This window comes from Homo sapiens, chromosome 14 (assembly GCF_000001405.40).
Source record: "Homo sapiens chromosome 14, GRCh38.p14 Primary Assembly".
Taxonomy (NCBI): domain Eukaryota; kingdom Metazoa; phylum Chordata; class Mammalia; order Primates; family Hominidae; genus Homo; species Homo sapiens.
This window is the reverse complement of record NC_000014.9, coordinates 53,250,359-53,267,840: the sequence shown is the minus strand read 5'-3', so window position 1 is coordinate 53,267,840 and position 17,482 is coordinate 53,250,359. Positions and strand designations below refer to the sequence as shown.

General features: G+C 36.6%; 1 annotated feature.

Moving 5' to 3' along the window:
- Positions 7,034 to 7,595: an enhancer, noted in NCBI's record as "NANOG hESC enhancer chr14:53726964-53727525 (GRCh37/hg19 assembly coordinates)". NCBI's record gives its function as "activates a minimal SCP1, AML or CMV promoter by ChIP-STARR-seq in primed H9 embryonic stem cells {active_cell/tissue: H9 hESC(primed)}" and the evidence as "EXISTENCE:reporter gene assay evidence [ECO:0000049][PMID:30033119]".

The following is a 17,482-nucleotide window of genomic DNA, read 5'->3' as shown; positions in this document are numbered from 1 at the left end:
ACTACCTGACTTCAAACTATACTACAAGGCTACAGTAACCAAAACAGCATGGTACTGGTACCAAAACAGAGATATAGATCAATGGAACAGAACAGAGCCCTCAGAAATAACACTGCCTATCTACAACTATCTGATCTTTGACAAACCTGAGAAAAACAAGCAATGGGGAAAGGATTCCCTATTTAATAAATGGTGCTGAGAAAACTGGCTAGCCATATGTAGAAAGCTGAAACTGGATCCATTCCTTACACCTTATACAAAAATCAATTCAAGATGAATTAAAGACTTAAACGTTAGACCTAAAACCATAAAAACCCTAGAAGAAAACCTAGGCAGTACCATTCAGGACATAGGCATGGGCAAGGACTTCATGTCCAAAACACCAAAAGCAATGGCAACAAAAGACAAAATTGACAAATGGGATCTAATTAAACTAAAGAGCTTCTGCACAGCAAAAGAAACTACCATCAGAGTGAACAGGCAACCTACAAAATGGGAGAAAATTTTTGCAACCTACTCATCTGACAAAGGGCTAATATCCAGAATCAACAATGAACTCAAACAAATTTACAAGAAAAAAAAACAAACAACCCCATCAAAAAGTGGGCGAAGGACATGAACAGACACTTCTCAAAAGAAGACATTTATGCTGCCAAAAACACATGAAAAAATGCTCATCATCACTGGCCATCAGAGAAATGCAAATCAAAACCACAATGAGATACCATCTCACACCAGTTAGAATGGCAATCATTAAAAAGTCAGGAAACAACAGGTGCTGGAGAGGATGTGGAGAAATAGGAAAACTTTTACACTGTTGGTGGGACTGTAAACTAGTTCAACCATTGTGGAAGTCAGTGTGACGATTCCTCAGGGATCTAGAACTAGAAATACCATTTGACCCAGCCATCCCATTACTGGGTATATACCCAAAGGACTATAAATCATGCTGCTATAAAGACACATGCACACATATGTTTACTGCGGCATTATTCACAATAGCAAAGACTGGGAACCAACCCAAATGTCCAACAATGATAAACTGGATTAAGAAAATGTGGCACATATACACCATGGAATACTATGCAGCCATAAAAAATGATGAGTTCACGTCCTTTGTAGGGACATGGATGAAACTGGAAATCATCATTCTCAGTAAACTATCGCAAGAACAAAAAACCAAACACTGCATATTCTCACTCATAGGTGGGAATTGAACAATGAGATCACATGGACACAGGAAGGGGAATATCACACTCTGGGGACTGTGGTGGGGTTGGGGGAGGGGGGAGGGATAGCATTGGGAGATATACCTAATGCTAGATGATGAGTTAGTGGGTGCAGCGCACCAGCATGGCACATGTATGCATATGTAACTAACCTGCACAATGTGCACATGTACCCTAAAACTTAAAGTATAATTAAAAAAAAAAACAACAGACTTGCAATATAGCATAAATATTAAGGCTCTGGATTTTAAAATACATGGGCTTTATTCTTTCTTCCACCATTTTCCAATGATGGTCTTTTATCTTGCTTAAACAAGATGTATCTCTAAATCCATTTCCTTATTTTTAAAACGAAGTAAATAGCACTGTAATTAGAATGAAATAGGATAATGTATGTAAAGCATTTAACACAATGATAAGTTTAAATGTATTCAACATAAACTTAGAAAAACAAAAAGTTATTGATAATCAGAACACATTCAAGACATAACCTGATTTGAAGCATATCATTAGGCCAAAGGAGTAATTAGAACCTACACACAGAATATCATTTCAGGTCCTTGAGGATGCCTTCAACCCACAGGGAATGAGTTGAGACCAGAGACATAACCCACAACAGCATTTGAGTAAGAGGAGTAACAGGGCAGGTAATAAATAAATTTAGTTGTTATTGTTTCTAAATTGAGATAAGGATTTGGGGGCGGGGGATGATGTGCTGAAGACTTCATTTTCTTTTAAGGGAATGTGTGACAACATAAATTGTTTAACATTTAACAACTGTTAGTTCTGTAACTTTGAAATCTGAAATTATTTGTGTGAAAAAAAAGGCAGACCAGGTACAGATAACAAAATCTGATGGAGAAAATGCAAATGCAGAAAAGGTCAGACTTAATTGGCTAATTACATTGGCTATTAATTTTGTACAATTTTGCCAATAACATGAAAAGATAAGTTTTCTGAGCAATTGAAATTGGATTTGTTTTTCTGGACAAGTACCATTCCAAAAGCAAAGCAGCAGAGGAAAAAAAAATGTCGTTTTTCCAAGCAATCAGCTTCCAGTAGAAATTAAAAAGTAATAAATGGAACCAAGTCATAAAATAGATCTTCTTATGATCAACTTAATAACTTCCAAAATAATTTATTAATCATATATTAAACATCACCACAAAAACTGCTCCACATTTAAGAGTAAACCAGATTTGAAAACAATGATTAAATTAAAGGCGTATTTAAAACCCAAATATATTAAGCATCCAGACCCTTGTAAACACAAAAGATCAACAAAGGAATGAGAGGAAAGCAGAGACATAAGTGGAATAAAGGTTGTTTTGCCAGAGGATGGAGAGAGGCATGTGATAACCTCCCGCATTCCAGTGCATGACTGGCTCGATCAGCTGCAGTAAGCATGACAAAGTGGTTTCACAGGTTCCATTCCTTGTCCTGTAACCCTACAGTGGGAGGGTAACTAGAGTAGAAGATTCAGGTTAGTTCCCACATGAAACTGAGGATGTCTTTATACTACTTCCAGTTGACTGAGCCTGGGACCACATCTAGTCGGAACTCAAGCAACATATTTAACCATCAGGTTGTAGACTTTTGAGGAATTTAACCATTGGGTTGTAGACTTTTTGAGAGTTGTAGACTTTTTAGGGATTCCTCTACAAGTGGAAGTAGAAAAAGGCATAGCTGGACTGAGACCTATTTGTGTTCCTATTTTTGAGTCTTTCAAATGATACCTAGAATGTTTTCCTTCTTGCAAGGACACAGTAGGCCATTTGTAAACTTACTTTTCTGCAGAGAGCAACTAGAAAAGCTAGATGAAAAAAATTTTTATCTGTTGAAAAGCACTGGAGAGCTCTCTAGCCTGAGGATTATAAAATCAAAATCCAAGAATTTCTTCCTGTGAGACAAATAAGTTAAGCAAAGCATTTGAGACTGTTTTGCCAAATTTTCTGATTCCAAAATCAACATCTGAGAAGCTGAGTAGTTGAACAAAGACTAGGTGGGGAAACATTCAGGACATCAGGGTTAATATAAAGGTTATTTTTCAGATCCTGAAAGGAGCACTAAATATAGCAAATAAAGATCACTACTAGCTAATACAAAAACACACTTAAACACACAGATCAGTGTCACTATAAAGCAATCACACAAACAAGCCAACATAATAACCAGGTAACATCACAATGACAGGATCAAATCCAGACATGTCAATACTAATCTTAAACATAAACAGGCTGAATGCCCCACTTAAAAGGCAGAGTGGCAAGCTGAATAAAAAAGCAAGACCCAATGGTATGCAGTCTTCGAGAGACCCATCTCACACAAAATGACACCCATAGGCTCAAAATACAGGGATGGAGGAAAATCTATCGAGCAAATGGAAAATAGACAAAGCAGGGGTTGCGATCCTAATTTCAGACAAAACAGACTTCAAACCAACATAGATCAAAAAAGACAAAGAAGGGCATTACATAATGGTAAAGGTTTCAATTCAACAAGAAGACCTAACTATCCTAAATATACATGCACCCAACACAGGAGCACACCGATTCATAAAGTAAGTTCTTAGAGACCTACAAAGAAACATAAACTCCCATGCAATAGTAGTGGGAGACTCCAACACTCCACTGACAGTATTAGACAGATCACTGAGGCAGAAAATTAACAAAAATATTCAGGACCTGAACTCAACATTGGACCAAATGTGTTTGATAGACTTCTATAGAACTCTTCACTCCAAAACAACAGAATATATATTCTTCTCATCACCACATGGCACATTCTCTAAAAGTGACCACATAACTGGAAATAAAACAATTACCTGCAAATGCAAAAGAACTGAAATCACACCAAACATATTCTCAGACCACAGAACCATAAAAATAGAAGTCAAGACTAAGAAAATCACTCAAAACCATGCAATTACATGAAAACAACATCCTCCTGAATGACTCTGGGTAAATAATGAAATTAAGGCAGAAATCAAGAAGTTATTTGAAACTAAAGAGAACTAAGATACAACATACCAGAATATCTGAGACACAGCTAAGGCAGTGTTAAGAGGGAAATTCACAGCACCAAATGCCTACATCGAAAAGTTAGAAAAATATCAAATTAACAGCCTAACATCACAACTGAAAGAATTCGTTCAAGAATCAACCCCAAGGCTAGCAAAACACAAGAAATAACCAAAATCAGAGCTAAATTGAGAGAAACAGAGACACAAAAAGAATTCAAAAGATTAATGAATCCAGGAATTGGTTCTTTGAAAAAATTAATAAAATGGATAGGCCAGTAGCTAGACTATAAAAGAAAAAAAGAGAGAAGATCCAAATAAACACTCTTAGAAGTGACAAAGGAAAGTTACCACTGACCCCAAAGACATAAAAATAACCATCAGAAACTACTAAGAACACCTCTATGCACACCAACTAAAAAACCATATACATCCTCCTCAGACTAAACCAGGAAGAAACTGATTTCCTAAACAGACCAATAATGAGCTCCAAAGTTGAATCAGTAATAAATAGCCCACTAACCAAAAAAAGCTCAGGACCTGATGGATTCAAAGCTGAATTCTACCAGATATACAAACAGGAGCTGGTACCACACCCACAGAAACTATTCCAAAAAAATTGAGGAGAAAGGACTCTTCCCCAACTCATTCTATGAGGCCAGCATCATGCTGATATCAAAACCTGGAAGAAACACACAAAAAAAGAAAACTTCAGGCCAATAACCTTGATGAATATTGATACAAAACTCCTCAACAAAATATTTACAAACAGAATCCAGCAGCACATTAAAAAGATAATCCACCATGATCAAGAAGGCTTCATCCCTGGGATTTAAGGTTGGTTCAAGATAGGCAAATCAGTAAGTGTGATTTATCACATAAACAAAACTAAAGACATTTTCCACATCATTATCTCAAAAGATGCAGAAAAGGCTTTCAATAAAATTTAGTATGCCCTCATGTTGAAAACTCTCAATAAACTAGATATTGAAGCAACGTTCCTCAAAATAATCAGAGCCATCTATGACAAACCCACAGCCAACATTATACTAAATGAGCAAAAGCTACAAGCATTGCCCTTGAGAACCAGCACAAGGATGTTCTCTCTTATATTCAACATAGTATTGAAAGTTTTAGCCAGAGCAGTCATGCAAGAGAAATAAAGCCCATCCAAATAGGAAGAAAGGAAATCAAACTATCTGTTTGTAGACAACATGATTATATATCTAGAAAACCCCATAGTCACAGCCCAAAAGCTCCTTCAGCTGATAAACAACTTCAATAAAGTTTCAGGATACAAAATCAATGTACAAAATTTACTAACATTCCTACATACCAACAATAGCCAAGCCAAGAGCCAAATTAGAAAGGCAATCCTGTTCACAATTGCCACAAAAAGAATAAAATACCTAGGAATCCAGGTGACCAGGGAGGTGAAAGATCTCTACAATGAGACTTGCAAAACACTGCTCAAAGAAATCAGAGAAGACACAAACAAATGGAAACACATCCCATGCTCATGGCTAAATAGTGTGAAAGTAAAATATCTTGGGTCCCCAAAATCACTAAGCTAAAGGTAAAAGTCAAGCTGAGAACTGATTACAGCAAAACTGACTCCCATTCTATTCAAAGTCACCCCTCTGCTCACTGAGATAATTGCATATCTGATTGTCTCCTTTGGAGAGGCTAATCAGAAACTCAAAAGAATGCAACCATTTGTCTCTTATCTACCTAAGACCTGGAAGCCCTCTCCCCACTTCCAGTTGTCCCACTTTTCTAGACTGAACCAATGTTCGTCTTACATATGTTGATTGATGTCTCATGTCTCCCTACAATGTATAAAACAAAACTGTGCTCTGACCACCTTGGGCCCATGTTGTCAGGCCCTCCTGAGGCTGTGTCATGGGCGCACATCTTCAATCTTGGCAAAATAAGCTTTCTAAATTAACTAAGACTGGTCTCAAATTTTGGGGATTCTCATTTTGGTAACCACGGAGAAATTGAGTGGAGGTGCCCCTCCTGACCTTTGAGAAATCTTCTATTGGTGCTTGGTACCAGCATGAGCTATCTTTATGGCTCAAACCAATATTACAATTTGCTGAGGTCTGGGAGCACCCCCCCAGAGTATCCTGGTCTCCCAAATTTGGTCATGATCTAAAGTTTATTTTGCTGTACAACTCCCTTTTTTGGGGGGTTTTACTTGCTTCCAACAAGGAAGGCAAGTTTTCCTGCTTCCATAATGATGGAAGGCAGAAAACTCCTTTACGGAGTTTGAGCTCATTTTCAACAGGGAAGATGAGTTTTGTTTCCTGCTTCTAGGATGATAGAGAGCCGTCTCCAGCATGAGACACATCCCTAGGTAAGTACCTGAATTGGGGTTTTGTCTTTGCTAAAGTTAACAACCAGCTGGTCTTAAGTTCTCCTTACCATTACAGCACTCAGTAATCATGTAAGTTGTGCAATCATTTGTTTTGCTTAACTGGTTTTGTTGTTGTTGTCATTTGTTTCTGTTTTTGTTGTTGTTTCAGTCTTTTTTCCCATTGGGTTTGATCAACTCTATCCAACTTCATCAAATCTGAAGGGAGTTCCAAATTATGGGGAACAAGACCTCTGAAGTGGCTAAATTCCCCCCAACCCCACCCCTCTGCCAACACACACACACACAAGGTGGTGGGGAGGAGGAAGAAAAATGGCCAGCAAAAGGAAAAAAAAAAAAAAAAAAAAACAAGAAAAAAGATGTAGAACACCCAATTCTGTCTCTGTTCAGGGCACCACTAGTGGCCTGCCACTGGTGGACTGAATAAAGTGGTGGACTGAACAAAGGGGGCGAACGTGGGAATAAAAGACAAAGACAAAAGAGTATATTTAGAAGAAGGGGTCGGGGGCACCTTGCCTCTAGTGGACAAGGGCCCTGAGCTTTACACAGCCCTCCATATTTATTAGACAAAAGAGCGAGAAGGGGGTTGGTGATTGTCGGATAATTGTCAGTCAGGCTTTTGGTTCACAGCAGGCTTGTGAGACTGCATCCTTTGAACAATAAGCGCTAGATTTCTCAGTAGATAACTTCAAGGAGCCCGGGGCCAGGGAGTGATGGCCCTCAGCAAACCTTTTGGTGGCAGGCACAGTGTGAGTTCGCTCACATCCTGCATTCATGATAAACAGTTTGTTATTTGATCATATAGCCTCCAGTGGAATGCTGAGTTGGTCATGATCCCTTTGGCCTTTTTGGCTCCCAACAAAAAGATTTTTGATTTTGACTACTAAGGGGCTTTATTTACATAACAAGACCACCTTTTTGCTAGCCAGGCCAAACTGAAAGAGCAATGGCTATACTTCTGAAATAATAGCAATTTGTCCTAGCTGAAATAGGGTAAAGAGATTTAAAAAGATTTTTTAAAGGAGCTCAATGGTTAAAAGTCAGCTTAATTAAAAGCTAACATCCAAGATGTGTGTGTGTATGTGTGCATATGTGTGTGTTTGTATTTAAAAGGCTTTCATGTTTTTGCTTTTGCTTTTCTCCTAGGACTTTGTCTCTTTTTTTGAGCAAAAGTTTATTTCTTCTTTGTTGACTAAATTATGTCTCTCCTTTCTCTTGTACCCTCTGCTGCATGTGGGACCTAAAATAGTTTATAATAGCCTTGGGTTCCTTAAAGAAAATGAAGAAGATGATAGACTCCCTTTGGGGGAGAAACCTGTTTTTCCTTATGGCACCCCAAGAATGTGAACAGTCAAGTTTCTCTCAGCTCTTAAACTGCTTACTTTTGTATTGTGTTACCTGTTTGTGTACATATATTTTTTGACTAAAATACTTATTGCAACAGAGGTTATCCTTGGCTTTTTAAGGAAGAATGTGGTTTAGACACTTAGAAATGTCTTGTTTTTAAAAAAATTTTTTAAGTGCACTGTAAAAGCATCATGTGGTCTAATCTCATAATAATTCTCCCTTTTTGGAGACCCAGGATTCAATGTGGGCTCTGCCCAGAGCTCAGATACCTAATTAAAAGGTAGATAGTTTCTATCTAAATAAAATTGGACTCCTTATACAATCCTATCATAGATTTCTATAATTTTATGTTTGGTTTGGCATCCATCTTTAGTCTCCTTCTAGCACCACCAGACTTTTTCTCTCTGTACCTTATGATGTAAATTTTACTATTTGATTTTCACCTGAGTTGTTTCCTTTAACATGCAAATATAAGGCTGTTTAGCTGACAACTGCCCAGGATTGTGAAATAGGTTTTCAAGAATCTGAAAATCTAAGACGGGAAAAAAAAAAAAAAGGTTTTTATAAATCTGGCTGGGAGCGGTGGCTCCATGCCTATAATCCCAGCACTTCGGGAGGCCAAAGCAGGCAGATTACCTGAGCCTGAGGTCAGGAGTTTGAGACCAGCCTGGCCAACACGATGAAACCCAGTCTCTACTAAAAATACAAAAATTAGCCAGGCATGGTGGCACGTGCCTGTAATCCCAGCTACTCAGGAGGCTGCGGCAAGAGAATCACTTGAACCAGGAGGTAGAGGTTGCAGTGAGTACAGATCATGCTACTGCACTCCAGCCTGGGAAACAGAGTGAGACTCCATCTCAAATAAATAAATAAATAAATCTATAAGATGTACTTCTATCAGCAAGCCTAATACATCTATGTATTTATGTGTTGTGTACACAATGTTTCACTACTGAAAATATATAAAGGAGTTCTGATTAATTGGCTTAAGAAAATAAAGTATTTGAAACACTTTATCTGGAAACAAGAAAAGATTAGTCGAATGCTTTTTCAAGTTTACATAACTTAAGTAAAATCTTAATAAATAATGTAGCTTTAAAATTATTGGTAAAGTAAATATTAGAAATATCTTAAAAATTGCCAGCATACATTTTCATGTACAATTATTAATCAAGCAATTTCATATTTATCCCTGCCAAATACCATAAGGTGTCAAAATTTGGTACAGAGGTTACAAAACTCTAAATGCAGCCCAAGACAGAATGACCTTTGCTTGTATAATTTTTAATAAATAAGATATTGATATTGGTTTAATAAAAATAGCTACATCTTGAATTTAGTAAAATTACCATAACTTCTAATCTTGTGGCTTTAGGCAGTCTAGTCCACAGGCAGTAAGATTTGTTCTAGGAAAGGACTGTTTATCATCTTCGTTTCAAAGCTAAACTATAAACTAAGTTCCTCCCAAAGTTAGTTCAGCCTATGCCCAGGAATGAACAAGGACAGCCTGGAGGTTAGAAGCAAGATGAAGTCAGTTAGGCCAAATCTTTTTCACTGTCTCAGTTATAATTTTGCAATGGCAGTTCCATAACTTTAAATAATGGCATTCACAGTTTTTATAATCTAAGTAAACAATTAAAATAAAATAATTAGGTAATGTAGCAGGATAAAAACTTGTAGACAACTCATCATAATTTAGATTCTAAAGTTATATTAAGTTAAATAATAGATATTTCATTATTTGGATATTGTCAAATAAAAACATATTTGTAGGAAAACATTCTTTCTAAAAATAAAAAAGGTGTGTCCTTTTAAAAAAAAGGTGGACAATTTTTGTCTAGTTCAAAGCTTATTTAAAGGTCATGTATGAAACAAGGTAAAAGGAACCAGAAAATAAAAGATATGTAAAGAAACTTATAAAAATAAAGAGTTTTGGTGTTTTTTTGGTAAGAAAGCTTGAAGAGAAATCATTTCATATGAGAAAGAATCTTGTATAGTAAATTGAGTCCTAGAGTAACATGACTGGTTGTTTAAGAAGGAGGGATGTTCAGCACAAACCAGAAACTGCAAGCATGTCATGAACAGTCTATGTAAGTCACAATAAGAGGATTTACTTTTTAGAAAACTTTTATATGATAAAGTTGTCACACTATTATTAAGTTTTGGTTTGCTTAGGAAAAAAACAGATTACAAATTTTTTTTATTTAAGGTTACTACATCCATGTATCTTTCTGTATGCACTTTTAAAGTATTTGTGACATTTAGTTACAGGGCTTTGACTGCAGGTCTAAAAAGGACACCACGTCCTTCTAAGTTTTAAACACTGATGGCAATTAAAGCCCCATCTTCAGGCCTGGTAGCAGATGCCAATCAAAATAAACTGCCTTCCTCAAACACTCTATTCAGGGGGTTGAATAGAAATTAAAGCTATTCAACCCCTCAAGGTCCAGGGACTATCACAGAAGAGGTGGACATGTAAGATTCTAAGGGCCAATTTTGAAAGATAAAATAAGTTCAGCTTCTCTATAAATTAATCATTAATGTCAAGACCATTGATGCAAGACCTACATATAGGCCCCTGTGTCAGATTAACAAGGTTTTCTTGAAGTATTAACTGACTCCTAAATAAAGATTATAAAGGTTATGAAAGGGTCTTACGGAAGTTATATCTTATCATTAAGATTAAAATTTTACAGATTGTTTATAAAATTTTGAAAAACAAATTTAATTGGCTTCATGCTGTTTTTATTAGGACTTATTGTTTGGAAAATTAAGACTCCTCTATCAAAGAAGGAAGGTTTTCACCTTTTTTTTTTAATCTTTGAGTTATCACTTTAGTCAAATGAATGACTTATTTTGCAATGACCTGTGATATCAAGTGTTTTAAACCTTTTATATTTGACAAACTTTCCAAAATCAAATTATAAATTATGTCTTTTTCTGATCTAATTAACCCTTTAAGATATTAGGTTTCTGGCCAGGTGCAGTGGCTCATACCTGTAATCACAGCACTTTGGGAGGCTGAGGGTGCCAGATTACCTGAGGTCGGGAGTTTGAGACCGCCTGGCCAACATGGTGAAACCCCATCTCTACTAAAAATACAAAAATTAGCCTGGTATGGTGGCATGTGCCTGTAATCCCAGCTACTCAGGAGGCTGAGGCAGGAGAATCACTTGAACCCAGGAGGGAGAGGTTGTGGTGAGCCGAGATCATGCCAATGCACTCCAGCCTGGGTGACAGAGTGAAACTCCATCTCAAAAAAAAAAAGATATTAGGGTCCCTAAAGTCAAAAAATGACATAATTTGGCTTATTTGGTGTAAAAATTATACAGGAAACATTGTCAAATATGAAATGGTGTTTGGTCTTCTTTAGTCTGTATTTGTATAAATATGTTATTGGTATGTGTTCCAAAATCATGGGAAACTCCTAAAGTTCTGATAAGACTTAGTGTACATTATCAGTAATAATTATAATTGTTATGTTAAATTATTGTGTGCCACAGAGGTAACAAATTTCCTTGTCAATTGTATCTTTGACTATGGCTTCCCTAAAACCTTTTGTCATCTATGGACAATTGTCTTGTTTTGATCCTCCTTAGAAGGTGGTTTTATAATCAGCTATAGAACTCTAACACGTGTTTTTAAATGCAGGATTCTGATAACTTTGAAGATTGTGACATTAGAATAGAAGAAAAAACTTTCAGGACTCTCATGAAGAGCTGAAATGTTCATGAATATCAAGCAGAACAGGAGTTAACTGTGTGAACTGAACTAACAGAAGACTAAATCAATCTTTTTAACATTTTGCTTAAAACATTGCTGATCCTTTGTTTTGTTTTTCAGAGTCAAGAAAACATATAAGCTATTTACAGCTTTTAACAGTTGAGTAAAGAATACTCCTATGAACAAAATTTGGAGTACATTTGTTTCTCTCTACCTGATTTCTCCAGAATTTGGAAACTATTTGTGAGTATTCTTAACTTATGACAATATAGCTATTTGCATAAGTGCAATAAGAAGCCATTTTCATTTGTAACAGGACACAATTGGAGAAACTGGTTATTTTACCAAGGCTTTGACTGAAATGGTGTGCTTTCCTTTAAGGAATCAGACTTGACTTATGGAGCCAATAAAAGAACTCAGGAAAAACTGACCTTATACCTTTGTCTATACAGCCCCTGTACAGGGTTCCTGAGCCATGGCAAGTAAAGAATGTCACTTTCTGACAGGCCCAAGAGCCCCAAGTTTACCTTGGAACCTCAAAAGAAGAGGACCACCCAACTCACAGGTATTTGATGGCACAAATCCATGGCTGGGCTTGGCTTTAAAAAATCTTTTCTGAGATTCCTTCTATGGAACAAAGTTCCATCTAAACCAGTTTAAAAGCCTATGTAAAAAATAATTATCCTTGCTTCACTATATACCAATAATTAGGCCAAGTATAATAAAGCAAAGCAGTCCTACCATGATTTAGTAGGTAGTAAAAATGGGAAACTAGAAAGGGAAAACTATGTTTTAAAAACTATAGTACACCTGTTGTTAGAGTCTAGTCTTGCCTAATGTTTTTCAATTTCATTATTTTCTATGCTTTGGACCAAATCCTAATTTTTCTTGGCTATAAGTTTTTAAAACAATGTTTTCAATTTTTTTCCTCATTTTTCCTAATTTGGAGTCACTGAAAACTAAGCTGTGCTTTCATAAAGCCCTACTAACTGAAGCTAGACAATTTAAACTTCAAAAGAAAACAATAGCAACCTATTTACACACATAAGTCACTTTCATACCTGCCTACTGATGTATGGACTTCAGAGTAATGTGGCCTATGTCAATTTTCCAGTATTGTTATTTTCTTTGTTGTTGTTTTTCTCCCTTCCTCCCCCTATTTTCTCATCATAGGACATGAGACTTCACAACTTTCTAAAAATGAGCTTTCCTAATAACTCAGGACCTATCTGTCTAGGAATAAATCATCCTATCCATGAGAGATCAGATGAAACCTGGGACCAGAGACTCATTTTCTTCTAAAATGCTTTCTTCAAAAGATTTTTAAAAAGAAAAGGGAGGAAAGGTGAAAGGAAAATATATTGGGCCCTGAAAATCCCTAAGCTAAAGGAAAAAGTCAAGCTGACAACTGATTAGAGCAAACCTGATTCCCATTCTATTCAAAGTCACCCCTCTGCTCACTGAGATAAATGCATATCTGATTGTTTCCTTTGGAGAGGTTAACCAGAAACTCAAAATAATACAACCATTTGTCTCTTATCTACCTGTGACCTAGAAGCTCCCTCCCCGCTTCAAGTTGTCCTGCCTTTCCAGACTGAAGCAATGCTCATTTTACATATGCTGACTGATGTCTCAGGTCTCCCTACAATGTATAAAACAAAACTGTGCTCTGACCACCTTGGGCACATGTCATCAGGACCTCCTGAGGCTGTGTTATGGGCACGCATCTTCAACCTTGGCAAAATTAACTAAGACCTGTCTCAAATTTTGGGGGTTTTCAATAGGAAGAACAAATATCATTAAAATGCCCATACTTCTCAAAGCAATTTACAGATTCAATGCTATTCCTATCAAACTACCAATGACATCTTCACAAAACTAGAAAAAAACTGTTATAAAATTAACACAGAACCAAAAAAGAGCCCAAATAGCCAAGGAACCCCTAGCCGAAAAGAACAAAGCTGGGGGCATCACGTTACCCAACTTCAAACTATACTACAGGGTTACAGTAACCAAAACAGCATAGTACTAGTACAGAAACAGGCACATAGACCAATGGAACAGAATTGAGAACTCAGAAATAAGGCTGCACACCTATAACCATCTGATCTTCAACAAAGCTGACAAAAACAAGCAATGGAGAAAAGATTCCCTATTCAATAAATGGTGCTGGGATAACTGGCTAGCCATATGCAGAACACTGAAGCTGGACCCCTTCCTTACACCATACGCAAAAATGAATTCAAGATAGATTAATGACTTAAATGTAAAACCCAAGACTATAAAAACCCTGGAAGACAACCTAGGTATCCATCCTGGATGTAGTAACAGGCAAAGATTTCATGACAAGGACACTGAAAGCAATTGCAACAAAAGCAAAAATTGACAAATGGTTTATAATTAAACCCAAGAGCTTCTGCACAGCAAAAGAAACTACCAAGAGAGTAAAGAGACAACCTACAGAATGGCAGAAAATTTTCACAAACTGTGCATCTGAAAAGGTCTAATATCCAGCATCTATAAGGAACTTAAACAAATTTACAAGAGAAAAACAACCCCATTAAAAGGTGAGCAAAAAAACATGAACAGACACTTTTCAAAAGAAGACATACATGTGGCCAACAAGCATATCAAAAAAAGCTCAATATCATTCATCATTCAAGAAATGCAAATCAAAACCACAATGAGATGTCATCTCACACCAGTCAGAATGGCTATTATTAAAAAGTTAAATAATAGATGCTGGCAAGATTGTGGAGAAAAGGGAACACTTATATATTGTTGGTGAGAGTATAAATTAGTTCAACCATTGTGGAAAACAGTATAGTAATTCCTCAAAGAGCCAAAAGCAGAACTACCATTTCACCCAGCAATCCCATCACTGGCTATATACCCAGAGGAATATAAAATCATTCTACCATAAACACATACGCATGCAAATGTTCACTGCAGCACTATTCACAATAGCAAAGACATGGAATCAACATAAATGTCCATCAATGACAGACTGGATAAAGAAAATGTGGTACATATACACCATGGAACACTATGCAGCCATAAAAAAGAATGAGATCATGTATTTTGCAGAAACATGGATATAGCTGGAGGCTATTATCCTCAGCAAAGCAACGCAGTAACAGAAAACCAAATACCGCATATTCTCACTTATAAGTGGGAGCTAAATGATGAGAACTTGTACACACATAGAAGGAAAAAAGAAAAACTGGGTTTTTCTTGAGGGTGGAGGATGGCAGGAGGGAGAAGAGCAGAAAAGATAACTACTGGGGCCAGGTGCTCTGGCTCACACCCGTAATCCCAGCACTTTGGGAGGCTAAGGCAAGAAGATGGCTTGAGCCTAGGAGTTCAAGACCAGCCTGGGAAACACAGCGAGACCCTGTCTTTATGTTTTTTAAATTTTTCTTAATAAAAAAAAAAAAAGATAACTATTGAATAACTATTGGGTACTGGGCTTAATTCCTGGGTTATAAAATAAATAATCTGTACAACAAACCCCTGTGACATGAGTTACCTATGCAACAAACCTTCACATGTACCCCAGAACCTAAAGTAAATGTTTTCTTTAAAAAGGTTATTTTAAACTGGAGATATCTGAGATTCAAAAAATGCAGAAAGAAGACTTATCAGAGCTCTTATAATCTGACTAAAAGCAGAATTTTCTGAGAAATAAGAACTGCTATAAATTTTCTCTTCAAGTTGTCTATTCCTAGGAGAGAGATCAAAAGTAATCCCACCATAAATCCCTTCTCCAGGGATTTTCGTGGCCCTGAAGAAGACAGACCAGTCTGCATAAATAAGCATCAGAAGTTTTCTTATCTCTCATTTGTTCTAAAAACCCATTTGTCTTTCTTAAAGGAACCTATTTGTTCTTCCCATAGGAACCTTTTCTCCCTACTCCCTTTCCCCTCCTAAGTTAGATATATCAACATCAAATTCTAATCTCCCCTCTGAGTTACTCATCATTGAGCACTCCTGTCTGCATCCACATTGCACACATAAATGAACTTTTTTCCTTGCAAACCTGTCTTGTCAGTTTAATTCACATGCCCCCAATTACTTAATGTAATAAGGTAGAGGGAATTTTTCCCCCTCCACAACTTCAGTAAACTCATAAGCCAGAAGGATTCATGGTCCACAGGCAGAAAGACCCTGGCAAGTATAACAGATTTACGTGAATGATACCAAAGAGCTACGTTCTAGGGTAACTGAACTATAACTAGACCAGTCCTCAAAGGAACTGAAAACCAAATTCGAATCATTCAGTCCTGATTAGAGTGTGGTGAACTGCTTTGATTGCTAGTGCCATAGCTAGCTGCACACCAGAAATCCTCTCTAGAGTAAGATGCCATTGTAAGGAATCTGAAATTACCTTTACTGGGTTTTCATATGCAATGTTTGACACTCCTATTTTTAAAAGTGTACAAAAAGACAACATGATTTAAAACCCAGAGTAAATAAAAGCAGATAAAAAGAAACAGACTGGGGTGGAGGGTAGGCAGGGAATGGGGAGGGACTGCTAATGAGCGTAAGATTTCTTCTCAGAGTGATGAAAATGCCCTAAATTAGATTGTGCTGATGGCTATACAACTCTAAATATATTGTAAGACACTGAATTGTACACTTTAAGTGAGTAAACCTCATGGAATGTAAATTATATCTCTATAAAGATTTTTTAAATTAACTAATTAAAGAGAAAAAAACAATGACTATGAGGATTTTAGCCAAGACACTGGAATAGTGAAGATGTCATAAACTAAGATGGAGAAATCTGTTGATGGAGTTAGTCTTGTCGGGGAGAAGATTAGGAGCCCAGCTTTGGACATACTAAGTTTGAGATGCCTATTTTACATCCAAGCATAAATATCAAATGGAGAGTTGAATACATGAGTCTAGAATTTAGAAGAGATATCTGGACTGGAGATAGAAATTTGGAAGTTATAATGTATAGATGGCATTTAAAACTATGAGACATGTTGAGATCACCAAGGTAGTAAGTGCATCTACAGAAGAGAGGAGTATCAAGAACTTAGAACTAGGTCAATCCAGGATAAGAAAAAGAAAGAAAGAGGGAGAGAGGAGGAGGAGGAGGAGCAGGAGGAGAAGGAGGGAGGGAGGGAGGGAGGGAGGAAGGGAGGGAGGGAGGGAGGAAGGAAGGACAGGCAATGAAAAAGCAGTAAAGGAGAAAGAAAGGGAGCAACCAGTGAGCAGTAAAGTTAAGAGTTTCAGTGTTCTGGTAGCCAAGTAAAGAAAGTGAATTAAGGAGGAAGGAATCATCAACTGACAGGTCAAATAAGATGAGAACTGACAAATAACCATTGGATTTAGCAATGTGGAGGCCATTAATAACATATAAAAATCATTTCTGTAAAGGGCCAGGAGAGAATGTCTACTCAGACTAAGTTTAATGAACAAGTGAATAAAGATAATGGAAAAAATAAGAATAAATAATTATTTCAGAGATACTGTGCAAAGGGAAGCAAATAAATTGGGGTTACAGCTAGCAAGATAAGTAAAATCAAGAAATGGACTGTATTCCCTCTTCCATGTCGGTCTTGTAATTTTAATTGATGGTGAAATTGTAATTTTACTTTAAAAGAAAAACAAAATAAATCCATAATGTGTTCAATAAAGAAAGTATCAGAAAGTTTAAAATAATTATGATTAATATATTCAGGAAATTAAAATATGAAATTGAGAATTTTAGCAGTTAAATTCAACCATTTTGAAAGAACTGTGAAATTTTACAACTGAAAAAAATGCAATCAATGA